Here is a 17,409-nt window from a genome sequence, read left to right on the forward strand (position 1 = left end):
TATCTCGATCATGGCCACGTGAGTTCTGGGTAGCCTATTCCAAAGGTCTCAGTCACGTGGCCCTGGAAGAAACATCTAATTTTCATGTCATAATTTGGGATTTATTTTTATATTATAACTTGGGATCTCACAGATAGAGACCCAACCTTTTAAGATATAATTGCAGGTGTTCAAAGGGGGGACAGGCAGGTGGAGGTATAGCAGCTTTTTCAACTCAAGGGTCCCTCTAATTTGAGTCAGGACACTCTAATCTTGGAATCTAAAGCCAGAAGGAAAAAGCCAGATCACACTGACTGCCTTAACATTATTAAGCCCTCTATGTTTAGTTTGGGTGGAGGGTATGTTTAAGTCAAAGAATTGGGCCCTACTTATGTTAAAGATGTTAATAAACCCAGCATCTTTGATTTCACTAACCGCTCCTCACCTTGAAAAAGCTAACAGATTTACTATATTGCCAAGTAAATAAATTAACTATGTTTTTCAAATGGCTTCACTGGGAATTCACACCATTTAAAACACTCAAAAGTAGCCTCTGGTGCTTTTTTGAACAAAAGTAAGCAGTTAGAAAAATATATGGGCCAGACACGGTGGCTCATTCCTGTAATCCCAGCACTTTGGGAGGCCAAGGGGAATGGATTACTTGAGGTCAGTAGTTCGAGACCAGCCTGGCCAACACAGTGAAACCCCGTCTCCACTAAAAATACAAAAATTAGCTGGGCATGGTGGCAGGTGCCTGTAATCCCAGCTACTCGGGAGGTTGAGGCAGGAGAATCGCTTGAACCCAGGAGGCGGAGGTTGCAGTGAGCTGAGATTGTGCCACTGCACTCCAGCCTGGGCGACAGAGCTATTGGGAACAGTCAGCACAAAGACATTAGGATCTTTAGAAAAAATAACTCTGGAGAAAGTAGTAGCAAACCTTAAAAATCTACTTTGAAGAGCAAAATTTCCTATTATTTCCTCTCATCGTTCTTTTCATAGTCACTTCAAATTTCCAGGCCTTCCTGGTGTTAAATGATGTTAAAACACGTCTTTTCTACCTGACTCTACTGAGTCTCTAATTGTATTCAAGCTAAATTTCATGTACAAGTTCAAATGATGAACTAGGAGGACACATCTCATAGAACTGAGAGTCTAATTTTTTTTTAGTTGCAGTAATAAAATAGCTGCTCACATTTATTTAAGCTTAGTAAGAGCCATGCGTGGTTCTATGCTTTTTACATGTGTTTCTTCTTGTAATCCTTATGATATTGAGCACAGTTGACATTCCCTTTGTAAAGACAAAGAAACCAAGTGTCAAGAAGTTTAACATTTTCCACGGCCACACTATGAGGAGGAGAGACGGAACTCGAGCTTACTTAGCCGTATAGCAGATGCCGTCAAAGGTACCTTTAGAACACTTGAGTGTGTGAAAGCTAAGGGAAATTATTTCTATCATAAGATACTCACTGTCTACCTAAAGAAGGAGCTAGTTTTCACTTTTTTGAAATCATTTTTTCCTTCAATGTATTTAAATCATTAAGAAATCTAAAAATGCAATTGTCTAATTGTTCTAATTGGAGCAGTCCTCACAAAATATGTTGGTGTGGTGAAAATGTGTTTAGTTCTTCAGAATTAAATATTCTGTAGTGACAAATATACAGATCAAATCATATTGATATAAAACATATTAACTAGTTGGCCACGCGTGGTGGCTCACGCCTGTAATCCCAGCACTTTGGGAGGCTGAAGCGGGTGGATCACTAGGTCAGCAGATCTAGATCATCCTGGCTAACACATTGAAACCCCATCTCTACTAAAAATACAAAAAAATTAGCCAGGCGTGAAGGTGGGCGCCAGTACTCCCAGCTACTGGGGAGGCTGAGGCAGGAGAATGGTGTGAACCTGGGAGGCGCAGCTTGCAGTGAGCCAAGATAGTGCACTGCACTCCAGCCTGGGCGACAGAGTGAGACTCCATCCCAAAAAATAAATAAATAAATAAATTAAATAGTTAACACAATGTTATCACAACCATGCATTTTTTACCTCAAATAAATTATCGTTACTTCCTATACAAAGCAATAAAACCCTGTAACACGCACACACAGAGAGTTCTGTGTCACCAGTGACAGCTCTCAGCCATCTCCTGAGCTTCGAGGTTGGATACTGTGCTTATCCAGCTGCCTGGGTAATCTTAAGTTTAAGCCCAGAACTTTCCTAGCATGCTGCTCTTCCCAGAGTGTAGCCACAAGGGCTGTGTGCCTATTACATTAGGAGAGAATCAGTGCCTCAGTTGCACTTAGAGCCCCAGCAAGGAGCAATAGAGGCGGAGTGAGATGGAGAGGCAGGTCTGGTCTTGTGTGTGTGGGAAGGAAGGAGTTTGTCAGGCGAGGAGGCTTTCAAGAGGCCTGTGGGCCTCCTGGGAGAAACACTGTAAAATGAAAGGAGAATTCCTTAGACTGAGCTCTGCCTTTTGGGTGAGATATTGAAATCCTCTGGACAAAAATAAATGAGAGACTTGAATTTGTGAACTGGAAGGTCACTTTGAATTCAAAAATCTTATCTAGCCAGGCATGGTGGCTCACGCCTGTAATCCTAGCACTTTGGGAGGCCAAAGTTGGTGGATCACTTGAGATCAGGAGTCCAAGACCAGCGTGGACAACAGGACAAGACCCTGTCTCTGCAAAAAGCTACACCAAGTGAGCTGAGTGTGGTGGCATGGGTCTGTAGTCCCAGCTACTTGGGGGCTGACACGGGAGGATCACTTGATCCCAGGAAGTTGAGGCTGCAGTGAGCGAAGATCGCACCACTGCACTCCAGCCTGGGTGACAAAGTGAGACTGTCTCGAAAAAAAAAAAAACTTATTATCTATCTGTACTTTGCCCAGCAACATGGACTAGTATGAGCAACTTGTCCTTTTCTTCAATTTTTTTAAATTTAACAATTATTATTTCACTTAGAGAAGGTTGACATAGTTAGAAGAAACCAAACAAGATTCAAGCGTGAACACCATGATGCGTGCATCTTTGCAGATATTTCCCATGTGTGTACAAGTAGCCTGCCTTTTCTGTACCTGAAAATGGGATCAAAATATAGATATTATTTGAAACGTTCAACTGAAAACGCTTTACCATGGAAACACATTCATGAAGGCAGTACAGTGTGTCATACAACAATCTATTTGGCCATTTTAGGATGGTAAACATTTAAGCTCTGTCCAACTTTTCAGTATGAGAGAGGGGGCTACAGTGAAGAAGCCCCTACTGGAGCAGGATGTATTAACTCTCTAGATTGAAACATCTGATAATTTAGAATTTGACTGATAGGACCGAATTATCCCCTCCCCTCATTTTTCTAGATATCCAACAAGAGTATAAGGGAGTGTCCTCTCTGTGCACAACCAAAACCTGATATCATCAATTAGAGTTTCACAAATGCACTGGGGAAAATGACAATGTTTAATGCACTGCTTTCAATCAATTATACACTTGGGAATCTTTTCCTACATTTATTATTTATGTTTGTTCTTCCTATAAAATACCTATTTGTACTTAATGGTTGCTAAGCTCTTTGCTGACTGTGAGATGATCTTTTTATATTACTTTTCTAGAAGAGTGTGTGGTGAACAGACTCTTAGGGGGCCATGCGGCACCCCCACCTGCTGATGTCCGTGCCCTAGGGATCCTTTTCTCCTTGAGAGTGGGCAGGACCCGTGGCTTCCTTTCAACCAACACAGCAAACTGACAGTGATAGGCTACATGTGATTATGTGTACAGGATTATGTGATTACATATGGAATTGTAGCACTCAACTGTGGAGTCTCCCTCTCACCCTCTCTCTCTCCCCCAACCCCACTCCTAACCTGGTTTGAGCCATGCTAGGAAGTCCCAGGTGACAACCGTGTGTGGCCCCCAGGAACTGATGGTAAACTCTGGCCAAAAGCCAGCAAAAAACTTAATGCCTCATTCCTACAACTGCAAGGAACTGAATTCTGCCAGCTGCCCAACTATCTTAGAAGTGGATTCTACCCCAGCTGAGCCTCAGGTGGCAATGAAGTCCCAGCCAACACTTGATGGCTGCTTTGTGAGACCTTAAGCAGAGACCCAGCTAAGCTGCCAAGCCATGCACAGACCCCTGACCCACGGAAACTATCAGGTAATGCATGTGTGCTGTTTGAAGCTGTTGCGTTTGCAATAATAATGTTACAACACAGTAGTTAGCTAATGCAAAAAGTATTCAAATGGGAGATTGCTCCCCCAATCTGTCCTTCTATGTAGCTCTGTTTTCTAGCTCTTGAGTTGTTCCTGGTGGCATCTGGTCCTGCGGAGAGGATAAACCTGGGTAACAGAGAATGCTATAAAATTATCTTGCTACAAATACTGTTGGCTTTCTGTCTCTCTCCCTCATTTGGAGACAAAGAACGGGTATTGTCATTAAAGGCATTAAAAAGTGGCTCAAATCTCTTCTTCTGATTTTGAAGCTACAGTAAATGACACCACATCTTTAACTTAGGTACTTCTTTCTTTCTCATAGGTTCTATTCTTAAAATATAAAAGGTAAGAAGAAATGATAGTCACTTCAACTTGTCATATAACACTTTACAGTATTTTTATATGGACTCTTTTTAAAAGACCTATCATTGTCCATCCATCATAAAAACTGAAAGAAAAACACATTTGCTAGGAGATATAGATCATACCCCAAAGTTCGGCTTGGCTATACTTTTTATACTTTCAGTTCCGTAGACGCCTCAGCTTTTCAACACCCTGACGACATGCCCCTTCCGTGTCTCTTGTTGCCAGCAAAGAATGCAGGAAAGGTAATTTTGTAACTGCAGTTGTAAAAGAAAGAGACTGATTAGCTCTTCTTTGTTCCATAATCCTCTAATGTAATTCTTTAAAATTAAAAAGCGGAGAGATAAAATAGTCATGAAGATCAAAATGACAATTGAAGGCTGGCATATCTGCTGAACAAGCTCTAATATTAAATTATTGTCACCAGAAGAAAAAAATGCAAACATCTCAGATAACTTACTCAGTATACAAAGAAAAACAGTCAAGAAACAGAAACACAATTGAATCAAATAAGCATGGCAAAATAATATCTTGAATATAGGGTTTCAAAGCTAATTATGTTGACAAGTTCTAGTCTCAGTACATGAGTCAATAAGCAGGCACAGTGACTGGAAGAAATCTTTACCAACACCTTCCCTAGGTCAACTCTTCAACGAGTGTTTTCACAAAATGTTGATGACAAATTAATTTGAACTCACTAAAAATAATGGCTGGAATCAAGTATATTACATAGACTGAGAACATTTATTTATTTATTAAAGAAACAGTGAATGTGTAAGAAACCAGAATGATGCTTGGATACTTGCAAGAGTGCCCTTCAGTTCTCCAGGACTTTAAGATTTATGAAGTCCAAACAATGTAAACAAATGAATGAAAAATCAGCAAGCAAGAATAACACTTTTTGTTTTTTGAAATGGAATTTCACTCCTGTCGCCCAGGCTGGAAGGCAGTGGTGCAATCTCGACTGACTGCAACCTCTGTCTCTAGGGTTCAAGCGATTCTCCTGCCTCAACCTCCCATGTAGCTTGGATTACGGGTGCCAGCCACCACACCCAGCTAATTTTTTTTTTCGTATTTTTGGTAGAGACGGGGAAGAACAACATTTTTTAAAGGACCCTAAACCTACAGTTTCCTACATCATGACTAATAATTTTTAAACATAGTAACTGACAAAAAAATTAGATCAAGGAGAGATTGGGTGATCAACATATGATAGAACTAGAAGTGGACTCAAAGATGGGTGGGCTTGAGATACATGGAAACAAAGCTCAAAGTTATGGTCGATGAGGTGGAATAGAAAACTCCTCAATGGCGAGAAAACTGAAGGTATAGTTAGGGTGTACCTGGCCTGGCTGAATTGGAAGTCACAAGGGCAGATTTGAAAAGACTGATTATGGAGGACTTTGAAAGTCAGTTTGGGAGAGAGATGCTGTACCCTACAGAGAAAAGCATGTACAGTACTTAAGAAAACAAGATACATGGCCAGTAAATCAAAAACTGCTTTTCTTTCCACACTCAGTGTCCTGTTGGTATTACATCCTGGAGGTCATTAGAAAAACTCCAGAACAGCAAGAGTAACCATCACAGGACTTGAAGGGAAAATGTTTAAAAATGTCTAATGTTCTAGCTTCCAATAAGTAGATGATGTTCAAACAAACATATGACCCCTTGGCTGCATGAGAGTAGAAAGGAGCAAGGCCTAACATAAGTTGCATATAAATCTGCATATTTCAGGGACTAGTCCCATGACAGTAGTGTACGCTTCCGATCCGACCTTCAGCTTTAAAGAGCAATGAATCAATGTCTGAGAAGGGTGGCCCTGAGCATCAGTGTTTATAGGACCATTTACCTGCTTGACGTTTCAACTGGCCCTCACTGAGCTAATGAAAAACACAAAGTTTTCTTGTCTGTTCTCCGGCTGCTTCTCCTCAACATCCTCATCTTCAGTTCATGATGTTGTTCCTGTTCCCTTCCTCCTCCATTATTTGACATAGATTAGGGTAGTCATAGCCTTTTGTAAAGGGGAATGAACTTGCCAGATAGATGGAGAGAACAAACCACTTGACTGGGCACAAAGCACAACCACTTCTATGTGGGTAGAAGATCCTGCAGCAAGGAGGATGAACAGCAGAAGGAAAAACCCCCAGATTCTTGCCAGAACAGAAACCCATACTTAGTGTCCTTGGGCTGACCTGTTCTAACTGGAATAGTAAAAAACACACCCCTGGGTGGAGATCTAAGATGCTAGTGAGCCATGTGATATATGTGCTAGCATGCAGAGCAGTGGCACATATGCATCCGGAAGACCACTGGCAAAGTCAAAATGGAAACTCCTAGAAAGCACTCAGAGATTCATCCTCTTTGTTAAAAATGTGATGTAGCCATGGAATACCATGCAGCCATAAAAAAGAACAAGATCATGTCCTTTGCAGGGACGTGGGTGGAGCTGGAGGCCATTATCCTTATCAAACTAATCTAGGAACAGAAAATCAAATACCACTGTTCTCACTTATAAGTGGGAGCAAAATGATGAGAACACATGGACACATAGAAGGGAACAACACACACCGGGGCCTGTCAGAGGGTGGTGGGTGGGAGGAGGGAGAGGATTAGGAAAAGTAACTAATGGATACTAGGCTTACTACCTTGGTAATGATATAATCGGTACAACAACCCCCCATGACACACATTTACCTATGTAACAAAACTTCATATCCTGCACATCTGCCCTGGAACTTAAAAGTTTTTTTTAAAAAAAAATGTGGTGTAGGTGAATAGGAAGGGCCCATGCGTTACAGTTATACTGAACTGAGTGATTCTGTTTGGCACATGCCATAATTCTTTAGGTGAGCAAAATTATGAGTATAATCCTTTTCAAGAGTCAAGTCTTCCCAATTCTCTTCCTATCCCCAGTCATCATTGTTAAGGATCATATCAGACTAAAAATGTGTATATCTTCCCTAAATCACAGTAGTTCTACCCAGATCACATTAATCAATAAAACTAATTCCACCTAACAGTAACAAGATGACTATTCTCACCTGAATTTCCCTTGATATTATTTATATTTTTTAAGTATGGGGCATTACATTCAAAATCTGTATTGTTTCCATGTAAAATGGAGCATGGATGTTGAACAAGTGAACTGCAACCTCATGAATATAGCTGAAACCATAAGACAAAAACAAAATACCCTCACAGATGGATTGGTCTTATGTTGTCCACAGGAATTCTATTTTATGAAGAAAGGGGAAAAGAGACACAACAAGAATTGCAAGACATTTGGAGTGCGCAGAAATTGTCTGATGAATTGTTAGTTTCTTGTAAAAATGTGACTCTTCTTAGTTTGCCAAGGTCTCTCTTCTTTTTGTGAAGTGCCGATCATACTCTGCAATGCTCGACTATCCCAGCTGTATTATACATCAAAGTACACTACTTTCCTACCAAATAAAAGGGATAGTTTGAAATGTGGTGACTAAAATTGTTGATGGACTTTGAACATTCATAAGGCCCATCCTTTGAGATAAAAGTGAAGATAGACTCTAACTTCAGTGGAATCCACCATTTTCACAGGAAGTGAAAATTTACTCAGAGCGCCGCCAGGAAAGATTTTAGGAACCACAGTTATGTCACTAACTATCAAGGAGGTGTAATTTTATAGAAAAGGGAATGATGAGAGTCCCCGACATCCTTTACAGGAATATCAACTTCAGGTAGAAGAAAATTACTCATTTGTTAGAGATCAATGAAGACACTTTCTGTTAAAAAAGAAGAGGAGGAAAAAGTTTCTCTAAATAGAGGCATAGACATTCTTCAGTCATCTTGAAAATGACTGCCTGCAATTTATAATTAATTTCAAAGGTTTTTCATTCATCAGAGATCACTCTCCAAATAATTCAAATTTTAATCTAACATTTAGCCCTTTCTTATATAACACGAATGATATCAGAGTATACTAAACAGTAAAAGAAAAAAAATAATTCACTCGAACAGTATTTTTATATGAAAGAGCATAATTATCCCCTGAAGTCTCCCCATAATATAAACATTATGGACAAGGAGCTTGAATCTCTGTTTTGTTGTAAAACTATTAAAAAAAAGAAGATTAGACAGCATTGAATGATGGATACCGATAATAGAGGCACTGATGATAAAGAAGAAATCTTCTGAATTAATTGCACAATTTCATAGTATAGTATATTCTTCATGAAATCAGTGTGAGCTAAATGGTCTGTGAAAGATTAGTGAAAACGTTATTAGATTTTGATCACTTTTATTGAAAGGAAGGTAGAGAGATGACAGATTGATAGACTCTACCTATCTATATTTAAAATATATAATACATAGATAATGTTTATATACAGATAAATGCATATAGTATACATCAGGTATTACACATATACAGATATATCCATTGCATTTTTACTATCTCAAAGTTAGAAGCCATATTTTACTACCTAGCACCCAATGTGGCATTCCCTAAGTGAGATTACGTGTATTCTCTGTATCAGAATTACCTGGGATGGGCGTGGGTAGAAAATAAATAGATTTCTACCTCCATCCAAAATCCACTTATTCAGAATCATTTGGAAAAGAAGCCATGGAATTTGCATTGAATCAAAATTGAAACAAGTAATTCTTAGGCACACAAAGTTTACATAGAGTGTTCAAAAACTGTGTGTCATGCCCACCCTGACTTTGACAGCTATAATGATAACGGTGACAGGCGTGTTCAGTACAGAAAGCAGAGGGTTGCTGCAACACTTTAGGAAAACGCTCAGTGCCTTGCAAAGTTGCTTTAATTCCATCGGGGTTCATGGTTTATAATTATCTGAATAATTCAGACAAAAAGTTGTAGTTATCTCTATCATATCCACATCATATTAGTTTTTCTTGAATTTCATTGAGGTTGAAGCTCCCCAAAATATATCACGCCAAAAAGTAAAAAATAAAAAGCACTGGAATCTGACTGATATTTTATATAATATAAAATATTGAGTGTCAACATGATTGGATTGGAGGATGAAAATTACGGTTCCTGGGTGTGTCTATGAGGATGTTGCCAAAAAAGATTAACATTTGAGTCAACGGACTGGGAGGGGCAGACCCTCCCTCAATGTGGGTGGGCACCAGCTCATCAACTGTCATCTTGGCTAAAAGAAAGCCCACATGCTGAGTCTTCAGGTCTTCATCTTTCTCCTGTGCTGGATGCTTCTTGTCCTCGAAAATCGGACTCTAAGGTGTTCACCTATTGGACTCTTGGACTTACACCAGTGGTTTTCCGGGGTGTCTTGGACTTTAGGCCACAGGCTGAAGACTGCACTGTTGACTTCCTTGCTCCACAGCTTGCTGACAGCCTATTGTGGGAATTCACTTTGTGCTCCTGTGAGTCAGTACTACTTAATAAACTCCCCTTTATATATACATTTATCCTATTTGTTCTGTCCCTCTAGAGAATCCTGACTAATACAGTGAAAAAAACTGGGAAGAGACACCAACAATTTGACTCCTTCATGTTTATGTTCTTGATCTCATGTCTATTATAATGATAGCTTTTAAAACATAGCATTATATGCATTACTCTCCGCTTTACAAAGGATGAGGCAAACTTACATTAAAATTATAAGCATCAAGTATCAAATTATGAGCATTAAGATGCAAGTATCAAAGTATCCAAGGATATTTGGGTGGAATGACAACACTGAAATATTCCTTTCCCTTTTATAACTTTTACCAAGCTAAAACTAGTTCAGGATTTCAACCAGTAAATTGCAAAATGTATCAGTAAAATAAAATACGTAAGTTATTTTTAACAAAAAAATATGCCTGCATGATCTTTTTTCTTTTCATTCCCCAAAGAAATTTTAGATGGGGATAAATGTTGCCACCGTAGGTCAAAGTGACACTGACTCTAACTGAAGTTAATTTGTTGAAATGTTATTCCTTGGTGGAATGTTTACAACACATTTAGAGTTGGTGGATGAGACAGGGTGCCTAATGGATGACAAAATCTCTCATCTTCATAGAACAAAGATATTTGAAGATAAATAAACATTCTGCAACTTCCCTAAAGCACTGATGGCATTTTCCTCTCCCATAAAGTACAGGTTGATACAAATGGTTTAAAGAAAATTGCAACTGAGCTCAGAAAAGAGAACTGTTTCACACTCTGCATCCAAAGAGGTTGATCTGCTGGAGGGAAAAAACAAGGTGTGCATTATTTCCATAAAGCTCCCTATAATCAGTCAATTTCAGCTGGCTCAATTATACAATGTCCTTCTATTCTTTTTCCTGTAAAGGGAATTTTAATTCCGTTACTTACCAACCTCAGTATCAAGGACTAAAGTCCATCCAAAATAGACATACTGGTTAATCAAAGGTCACTTAAGGTCATTTTAAAGTCCTTATGGAAAAGACTGACTTACTTCCTTGCATTTAGGCATGAATACCTAAGTGCAATTATTTGATTTTTATACCAATCAGTTGTTCTGGAATGGACAACTAGTTTGCTAAGCACAATGATCATGTAATTGAAGGCAAGGTAAAAAGGTTGAGTTCCTTGAGGATTAATTCATTTCAGTAGAGCCGAAACATCTATTTCTATTTCTTTGGCTCAGGTTGCATATCCATGCCAGGTCTACAGTAAAAAAAGAAAAAAAAAAATCTGCCCCTGGTTGCTGTGGTGGCTGTGCCACAGCGTCAGATTGGTTGGACTTGTTTACCACTGCTGGTCTCTTAGTCCAAGTTCCTACTTTCCTATCCTAGGAGACAACAGGCTGGTAATATTTCCATACAACCCAAAGACACAAATACTGTAGACTGTGGAAGATCTCCGCCTTTACACAAGTATCTTCCTCTGATTTGTTAGTTGATCAAATAAAACTTAAATTAAAAAAGAAGACATACTTGACCTTTACTATGTGCAACTACGCATGCAACTTCTTAGTTATCTTACAGAGCGAAGTGAGCTCAACCAGAAGACATACAAAAGGCCAAAGGGAAAAGGTAGCTTAAATTGCATGTATGCAACTTGTAATGGCTTATTTTCACTATGAGCTCAGCAGAAAAATTACCAGAGGCAGATTTAAAATTCAGCGCAATAGAGAGTATTTAATATGCCATTTGCATTTTGACAGCTTAGAAACGTCTTCACTGGGTTTGCTGTATCGTCTGCTTATAAGCACGAACCAGCCACCGAGCTTTGTTTATCTGTTTCTTAAAGGAAGCAGAACCATTTTCTTGACATTTTTAAAGCTGGGTTGGTGTTTGCTTGACACAATAAACTGGAGAGTAAGGAAGCATTGCCCCCGGGAGGAGCTGCTTTCGCCTGTAGAAGCTTCAGCACTGTGGTTGTGGCAGTCGTCTTACCAAGCATGATTGGCCAGCTGAAAGCCAATATAAAAATAGCCATTCTCTCTCTTCCCGAGGCCTCTGCCAGTGAGATGCTTGAGACATGGGGGAATTCTACCACCCTGCACTACTTGCCATTTGCTTCTCTGGACTTGTTTGATGAGACCTCATTGCCCTACCATTCAAGTTTACAAAACCTGTCACTTCCGAAGAAAGACTCCCTTTTGCGACTAACTACATGAGTGCTCCAGAAGCACTGAAAAGCTTTCCGCTGAACAGTTCTGATTTGAAGTCATAGTAATTAGTAATAATATCCTGATAATGCAACAGGAAAAAAACATGATCTGCTCAGCAATACAGAGATATTAACTTCATTTTAAGGGGTTCACATTTTTTTTTTTGAGATGGAGCTTAGCTTTTGTTGCCCAGGCTGGAGTGCAATGGCACGATCTCAGCCTACTGCAACCTCCACCTCCCGGGTTCAAGAGATTCTCCTGCCTCAGCCTCCTGAATAGCTGGGATTACAGGCATGCGCCACCACGCCCAGCTAATTTCGTATTTTTTTTGTAGAGATGGGGTTTCACTATGTTGGTCAAGCTGGTCTCCTGACCTTTGATGATCCACCCACCTCAGCCTCCCAAAGTGCTGAGATTACAGGCATGAGCCACAGCATCCGGCCCACTTTTTTATTGCTGGATGGGGATTAGGGGTTTCCTGCGAAAGTATCTTCTTCACAGGAGTGTCCTGGCTTCATCAGGAGGAAGGGTATTGGGTGCGGCTCTGCCATAAAGGAGTCTGACCTGCAAATTAAAGGTCTTAGCATACTTCTTGGTGGGATGAGTCTTTAATAAGGTAACTCATCTAAAACCATGCAGGTATGGGAGGGCGCACCTCTCTCGCGGTGGAGTTACAGGGTTTCTCTGGAAACTCAGCAGTGCGTGCTCACATCTCTGCTGGGTGGGTCAGGAAATGTTTGAATTACTTACTTTAACGAATGTTCCACCTTTCTCTTTCGGGCTTCTCAAAATGAGGCTGCTCTGGCGTAGTAGTGTTGTGTGTGCTCTCCTTTAGGACGCTTTCTGGGTAAGTAATTGTCTGCAAATACCTGCATTCTCATGGCTGCACATATGCAAGAAACAACTGAGAAGGAAACTTCTTCCAAACAGCCAGTAGATCAGCCCCGGGTAAAGGGGCAGATACGAGCCAGCATACACAGAATTAATATTCCTGTTTACCAGATGAAAATGCTTACAGCCTTACTCCTTTTCCCCTGGTCCCTGAAAATAGGCATTTAAAGAGAAAGGCACACTTGGGATTCAACCTTTACAATGCCATTAATAATCCAGAAGAAAAAGGAAATCGCCAGTGAATTTTCGATATCCCCAACGCTTTATTGAAGAGTACAGCACCATCAGCTGAAGCTGATACTCAAGTACCCACAGTAACGGGTTCCAGTGACCTCAACTGCGACCGCCTCCAGCCTCACGACTCCGCAAACAGGTCACGAATTATGCCCCACGCATCAAAAACTCTGCGCCTGCCTTCGCCACAGCGGGAGCCGCCACCCGGGCGCGCGCGGCGCAGCTGCCCACGGCAGTGGCCGGGCGCCCTCCTGCCGGAGCGCTCCTCCCCGGGAAAGCCCTGCTGCTTGCAAGCGCCTCCGGTGGGCCCTGGAGCGCGCTGCCGAGCCCCGGGGCCCAGCGCCGACGCCCCCGGGGGGAGGCCCGACCTTGGTCACCCGGGCTTTGCTAGGCAAGGGGAACGCGACGCCGCCCCAATGGCCAGAGCGCACAAACGGCGACTCCGGCGCTGGCGTCACCAGCCCCCTTCCTGCCTGCAGCCCCTTCCCAGGCCGGTACAGGAGCTCGCACTTGACCCCGCAGGCGTGGAGGAGACACGGTCCCTGGTCCCTGTGGGGTTAATGAAGGAGCTCCACGGACCCACTGCCTCGTGGGCCAGACAATAGCGCAGTGAGAGCTACGTCCGAGCGTCCTGGACCCCCTCCGCGCGCACACACTTGCGCACAGCACCTCTCCAGCTCCATGCACGCCAGGGGCCTGGGACCCTGGGCTCCACTTCTCGGCTTCTACAGCCAGGTTCTGGGACCTGCAGCGCGCAAGAGGAGCTCTCTTCCACGGGGCTGCCCCGCAGGGCCCGAGGCGCCCAGGACTTTGCAACCCCTGCCCTGTTCGCCCCAGAATCATCCAGAGCAGCCCCCGCCCACTACCTGGCCCTCCACACCCTCCCTCCCGCCTCCGCCTCAGCCTCATCCTAGCGCTGCAGCCCACCCGCGTGGGGGCGGAATCCGCCCGGCACACACGTGTGCGGATTATTAAGCAGCCGAGCTAGGGCCGCCGCGGTCTCCACGCAGCAACCTCTGCTAATTGCGGGGGAAGGCAGCCGGAGCGTGCGGAACTCGAGGGAACCGAGAGTGAGCTCAGAGGCTGAGTTGCCTGCCTGGAAAGGAGGAAGCCCCGGGCCCAGTTAGGCTTGGAGTGCAGGGGAAAGGGCGGGAAGTTTTGCGGAGTTGCGTGGCAGGTGTTTCCTCTCCACGCAGGGGCTCGGCTGGAAAAAGCCAGGTCCTGTCCCTTGGGCTCCTGCCCTCACCCCGCTGCGACACACACGCCCCAGCACACCTCACAGGGCACAACCCTCTTTTCCCTAGACTTTAGCTGCCTCGCCTTCCAATTCCCAGCCAGTCCAGTGCTGACCAGAGGCCGCTGCCAGTCGGGCCCTGCTCAGCAGGCGCTGCCTCCGCAGCCGGCAATGTCAGAGGCACCGGCCAAGGCATCCGGACTGAGCCGGGCGGGTGGGCAGAGGGTCGGCGTCTGCAAGAAGCTCCCCAGTCCCGAGCGACCACGAGCTTGGGTGACTAAGACCCACTGTTTGCGATCCCCGAGATCTCGGGGCGCATTCCCGCAGACACCCCCTTGTGAGGGTGGATGCCGGTGAGGAGGAGCTGGTGCTGAGCGGTCAGCTTTCACGGAGCCCTGGACGCCCCGTGGAGGCAAGTGCAGGGAGGGGAAGCCCAGGCGGCACGTCTCTCCCCCGCTCTCCAGGCAGATCTGGAGTTTCCTAATGAACCAGATACAGTCCTCCTTCGCCCTGCCAATCACTCTTCCATCTGGACCACTGGAGGAAAAGGAAATGGGTGGAAAAGAAGATGGAAGAATCTAGAGAGGACGGGGAAATATTATGTAGGGAAAAAAGCAAGTGACCATTGAAAAAAAATCGTAAGATTGGACTCCAACCTTTAAAAATGAAACGAAAGAAAAACCCTTTGTAGATACAGATACTCCCGGGAACATCTATGGAAGTGCTGACTGATAAAGAAAGCATCTAAGGAGGCTAAAAATGAGGACAGGGGCAGGTATTTCCAATGTGAAAACCAATCAGTATTCTCTCTCTCTCTGTCTCTCTCCCTCTTTCTCGCCCTGTCTCAAAAGGGAGCTTATGTTCTTTCCCGGAGAATAAACAAGTACACAAGCTATTGCCAGCCTTGAGGTCGCAGCCTGTAGGCTACTTAGAAGAAAACATTCCCCAACTCATTCAGGGAGAAAACCAAGCTCACAGAGCCCCAAGCCCAGGAGCCACCCAGAGAAACTCCTTCCCCTGACCAGCGTAGAAGGAGGATACCCGTGCGCCCACAGTGAATGTATCTGACTTGGAAGCCGGTCCAGAACTCCTAGCCTGTTTCACGCACCTTGCCAACACCTTACAACTTGCAAGGAGCGAAGTCCGGGGGAGAGGAAAGCGGGGGCGACCTTCTAGAGGCAGCTACTCCTCGCCGGCTGAGGACGTTGGAGAGGGAAGGAGGAGAGGAGGAATGGGGTGTATGGGTGCGAGGAGGCCGGGCCGGCGGAGACCTTTGCCTATTGGTACCAAAACCCCCGTAGAGAGCCCGAACTTTCCAGGCCGGCTTCACCCGGGACGCTTTCCCAGGCGCGTCGGGTCCGGGGAGAAAGTCCTGGGAACTGCCCCTCAGCCACCCCGACCCGTGGAGTCCACGTCTCGGAGGAGGCAACACCGCCCCGGCGGAGCACAGTTCCAGCCCAACTCGTATTGGGTTCCTTTCTCCTTGACACCCTGTACTGCCGAGAAAAAGAGATCTCTCCTGTGAGCCCAAGAGAGGGGGAAGGAATGGCGGGGTGGGGCGGGGGCCCAGGAGGGCTGGGGAGAGCGCGATGGAAGCTCCCTCCCGTGCATCGCGTTCCCCGAGCTTCGGCGATGGAGCAGCGCCGGGCAGAGGCGGCCACTCCGTACCCTGCGGTCCCCAAAACGCACACTCGCGTCCGCACACGGGGCCTCCGAGGGCTCTACCGCCTCCCCGGCCAGGAGCAAGTCCGTCTTACCCTTCGCTGCAGTGAGGAGCCTCGCGCACAGCACCAGCAGCCCGAGAAGCAGGAGCAGCGACTGGAATCTCCTCCACGCAGTCATGTCTGCAGATACTCCACACGCACGCGACACCGATGGCTCCTCCGAGGAAGGCAGGGCTATGAGCGGAGCCAAATAATCACCCGAGGGCAAGGCGAGCCGGAGAGAGAGCCCGGTCCCAAGACCCGCCGCGCATCCGACGCCTCCTGAAGGTCTGGGCGCCCGGCTCGCTTCCCTCTCATAGCATCGGGTCCCGAGCCACTGCAGGGCTGAGCTGCTCCGAGCGCGGAGACCCGGGCTGGCGGGGCCGGGGCCGGGGACGAGCGCCGGCCGAGCCGGGCAGGAAGGCACCAAGGCGGCGAGGCTGCGGGAGGGGGAGAAGCGGGGAGAGGAGCGCGCGCAGCCAGGAGAGACCTGGAGAGGAGGCAGCTGGAGAGAGAGCCAGCGAGTGGGAGATGCGGGGAGGGGGGCGCGGGGGGGAGGAGAGATCCAGTCTAGAGAGAAAAGGCGGAGAGCGCAGAAGAAGGGCTGCTAGTGGCACAAGGAGCCGCTGCCGTGGAGGCTGGACTCAACCATCCTTACCCACAGAGAGGGGACCGAGGCTGGGCACGGCGCAGTCCCAGACAGACAGAGCCCAGCCTCGGGGCCTCGGGCTGCCCGCACCGTGCTGCGCTTCATTCGGCCTCAGCGCAGCAGCGCGCAGGCTGGAGAAAGGAGACTTGTTGGGCGCTCGGGTGGGGGAAGCTCACGCCGCACACCGGGGAGGAACAATGTAATCCGGCAACTCCAGCAAACTGGAGGGTTTCTGCAGGGGCAGAGTCCCGCCTCCATCCTTTGATCTCCCTTCCTTGCTGACCAGAGAGCAGCCCCCTACCTAACTTAGATCAGAAATGCAGGTGGAAAGGGCACAAGCTTCAACTCCAAGGGAGGAATATATTTATACATTTATATATATATATATATGATGATATGTATAATGTTTTGCAAGATGGACTATTTGCAAGGAGTTACACAAATTTACACATTTCCTGACTTTGGATTGTGTTAGATTTAGCCATGCCCAAACTTCAGCTTCAGATAAAACGTGACATGAGGAAGTCTCTAGAATTAATATTATGGTCTGGTTGTGAGAGCC

At 45.1% G+C, this 17,409-nt stretch overlaps 1 protein-coding gene across 3 annotated transcripts in view; it reads right to left on the reverse strand.

Annotated features, from left to right (window-relative positions):
• The window catches only part of CSMD1 (CUB and Sushi multiple domains 1), a 2,059,554-nt gene extending 2,042,719 nt beyond the window's left edge, over positions 1 to 16,835 (reverse strand). For all 3 annotated transcript variants that reach the window (XM_011534752.3, NM_033225.6, XM_017013731.2), the window contains exon 1: positions 16,253 to 16,835. In XM_011534752.3, coding sequence (XP_011533054.1) covers positions 16,253 to 16,337 — 85 coding nt within the window. In that variant the 5' untranslated portion in view covers positions 16,338 to 16,835. The remainder of the gene's footprint in view (positions 1 to 16,252) is intronic.
• Between the last annotated feature and the right edge of the window lie 574 nt (positions 16,836 to 17,409).

The sequence above is a fragment of the Homo sapiens genome, chromosome 8 (genome assembly GCF_000001405.40).
Source record: "Homo sapiens chromosome 8, GRCh38.p14 Primary Assembly".
Classification (NCBI taxonomy): domain Eukaryota; kingdom Metazoa; phylum Chordata; class Mammalia; order Primates; family Hominidae; genus Homo; species Homo sapiens.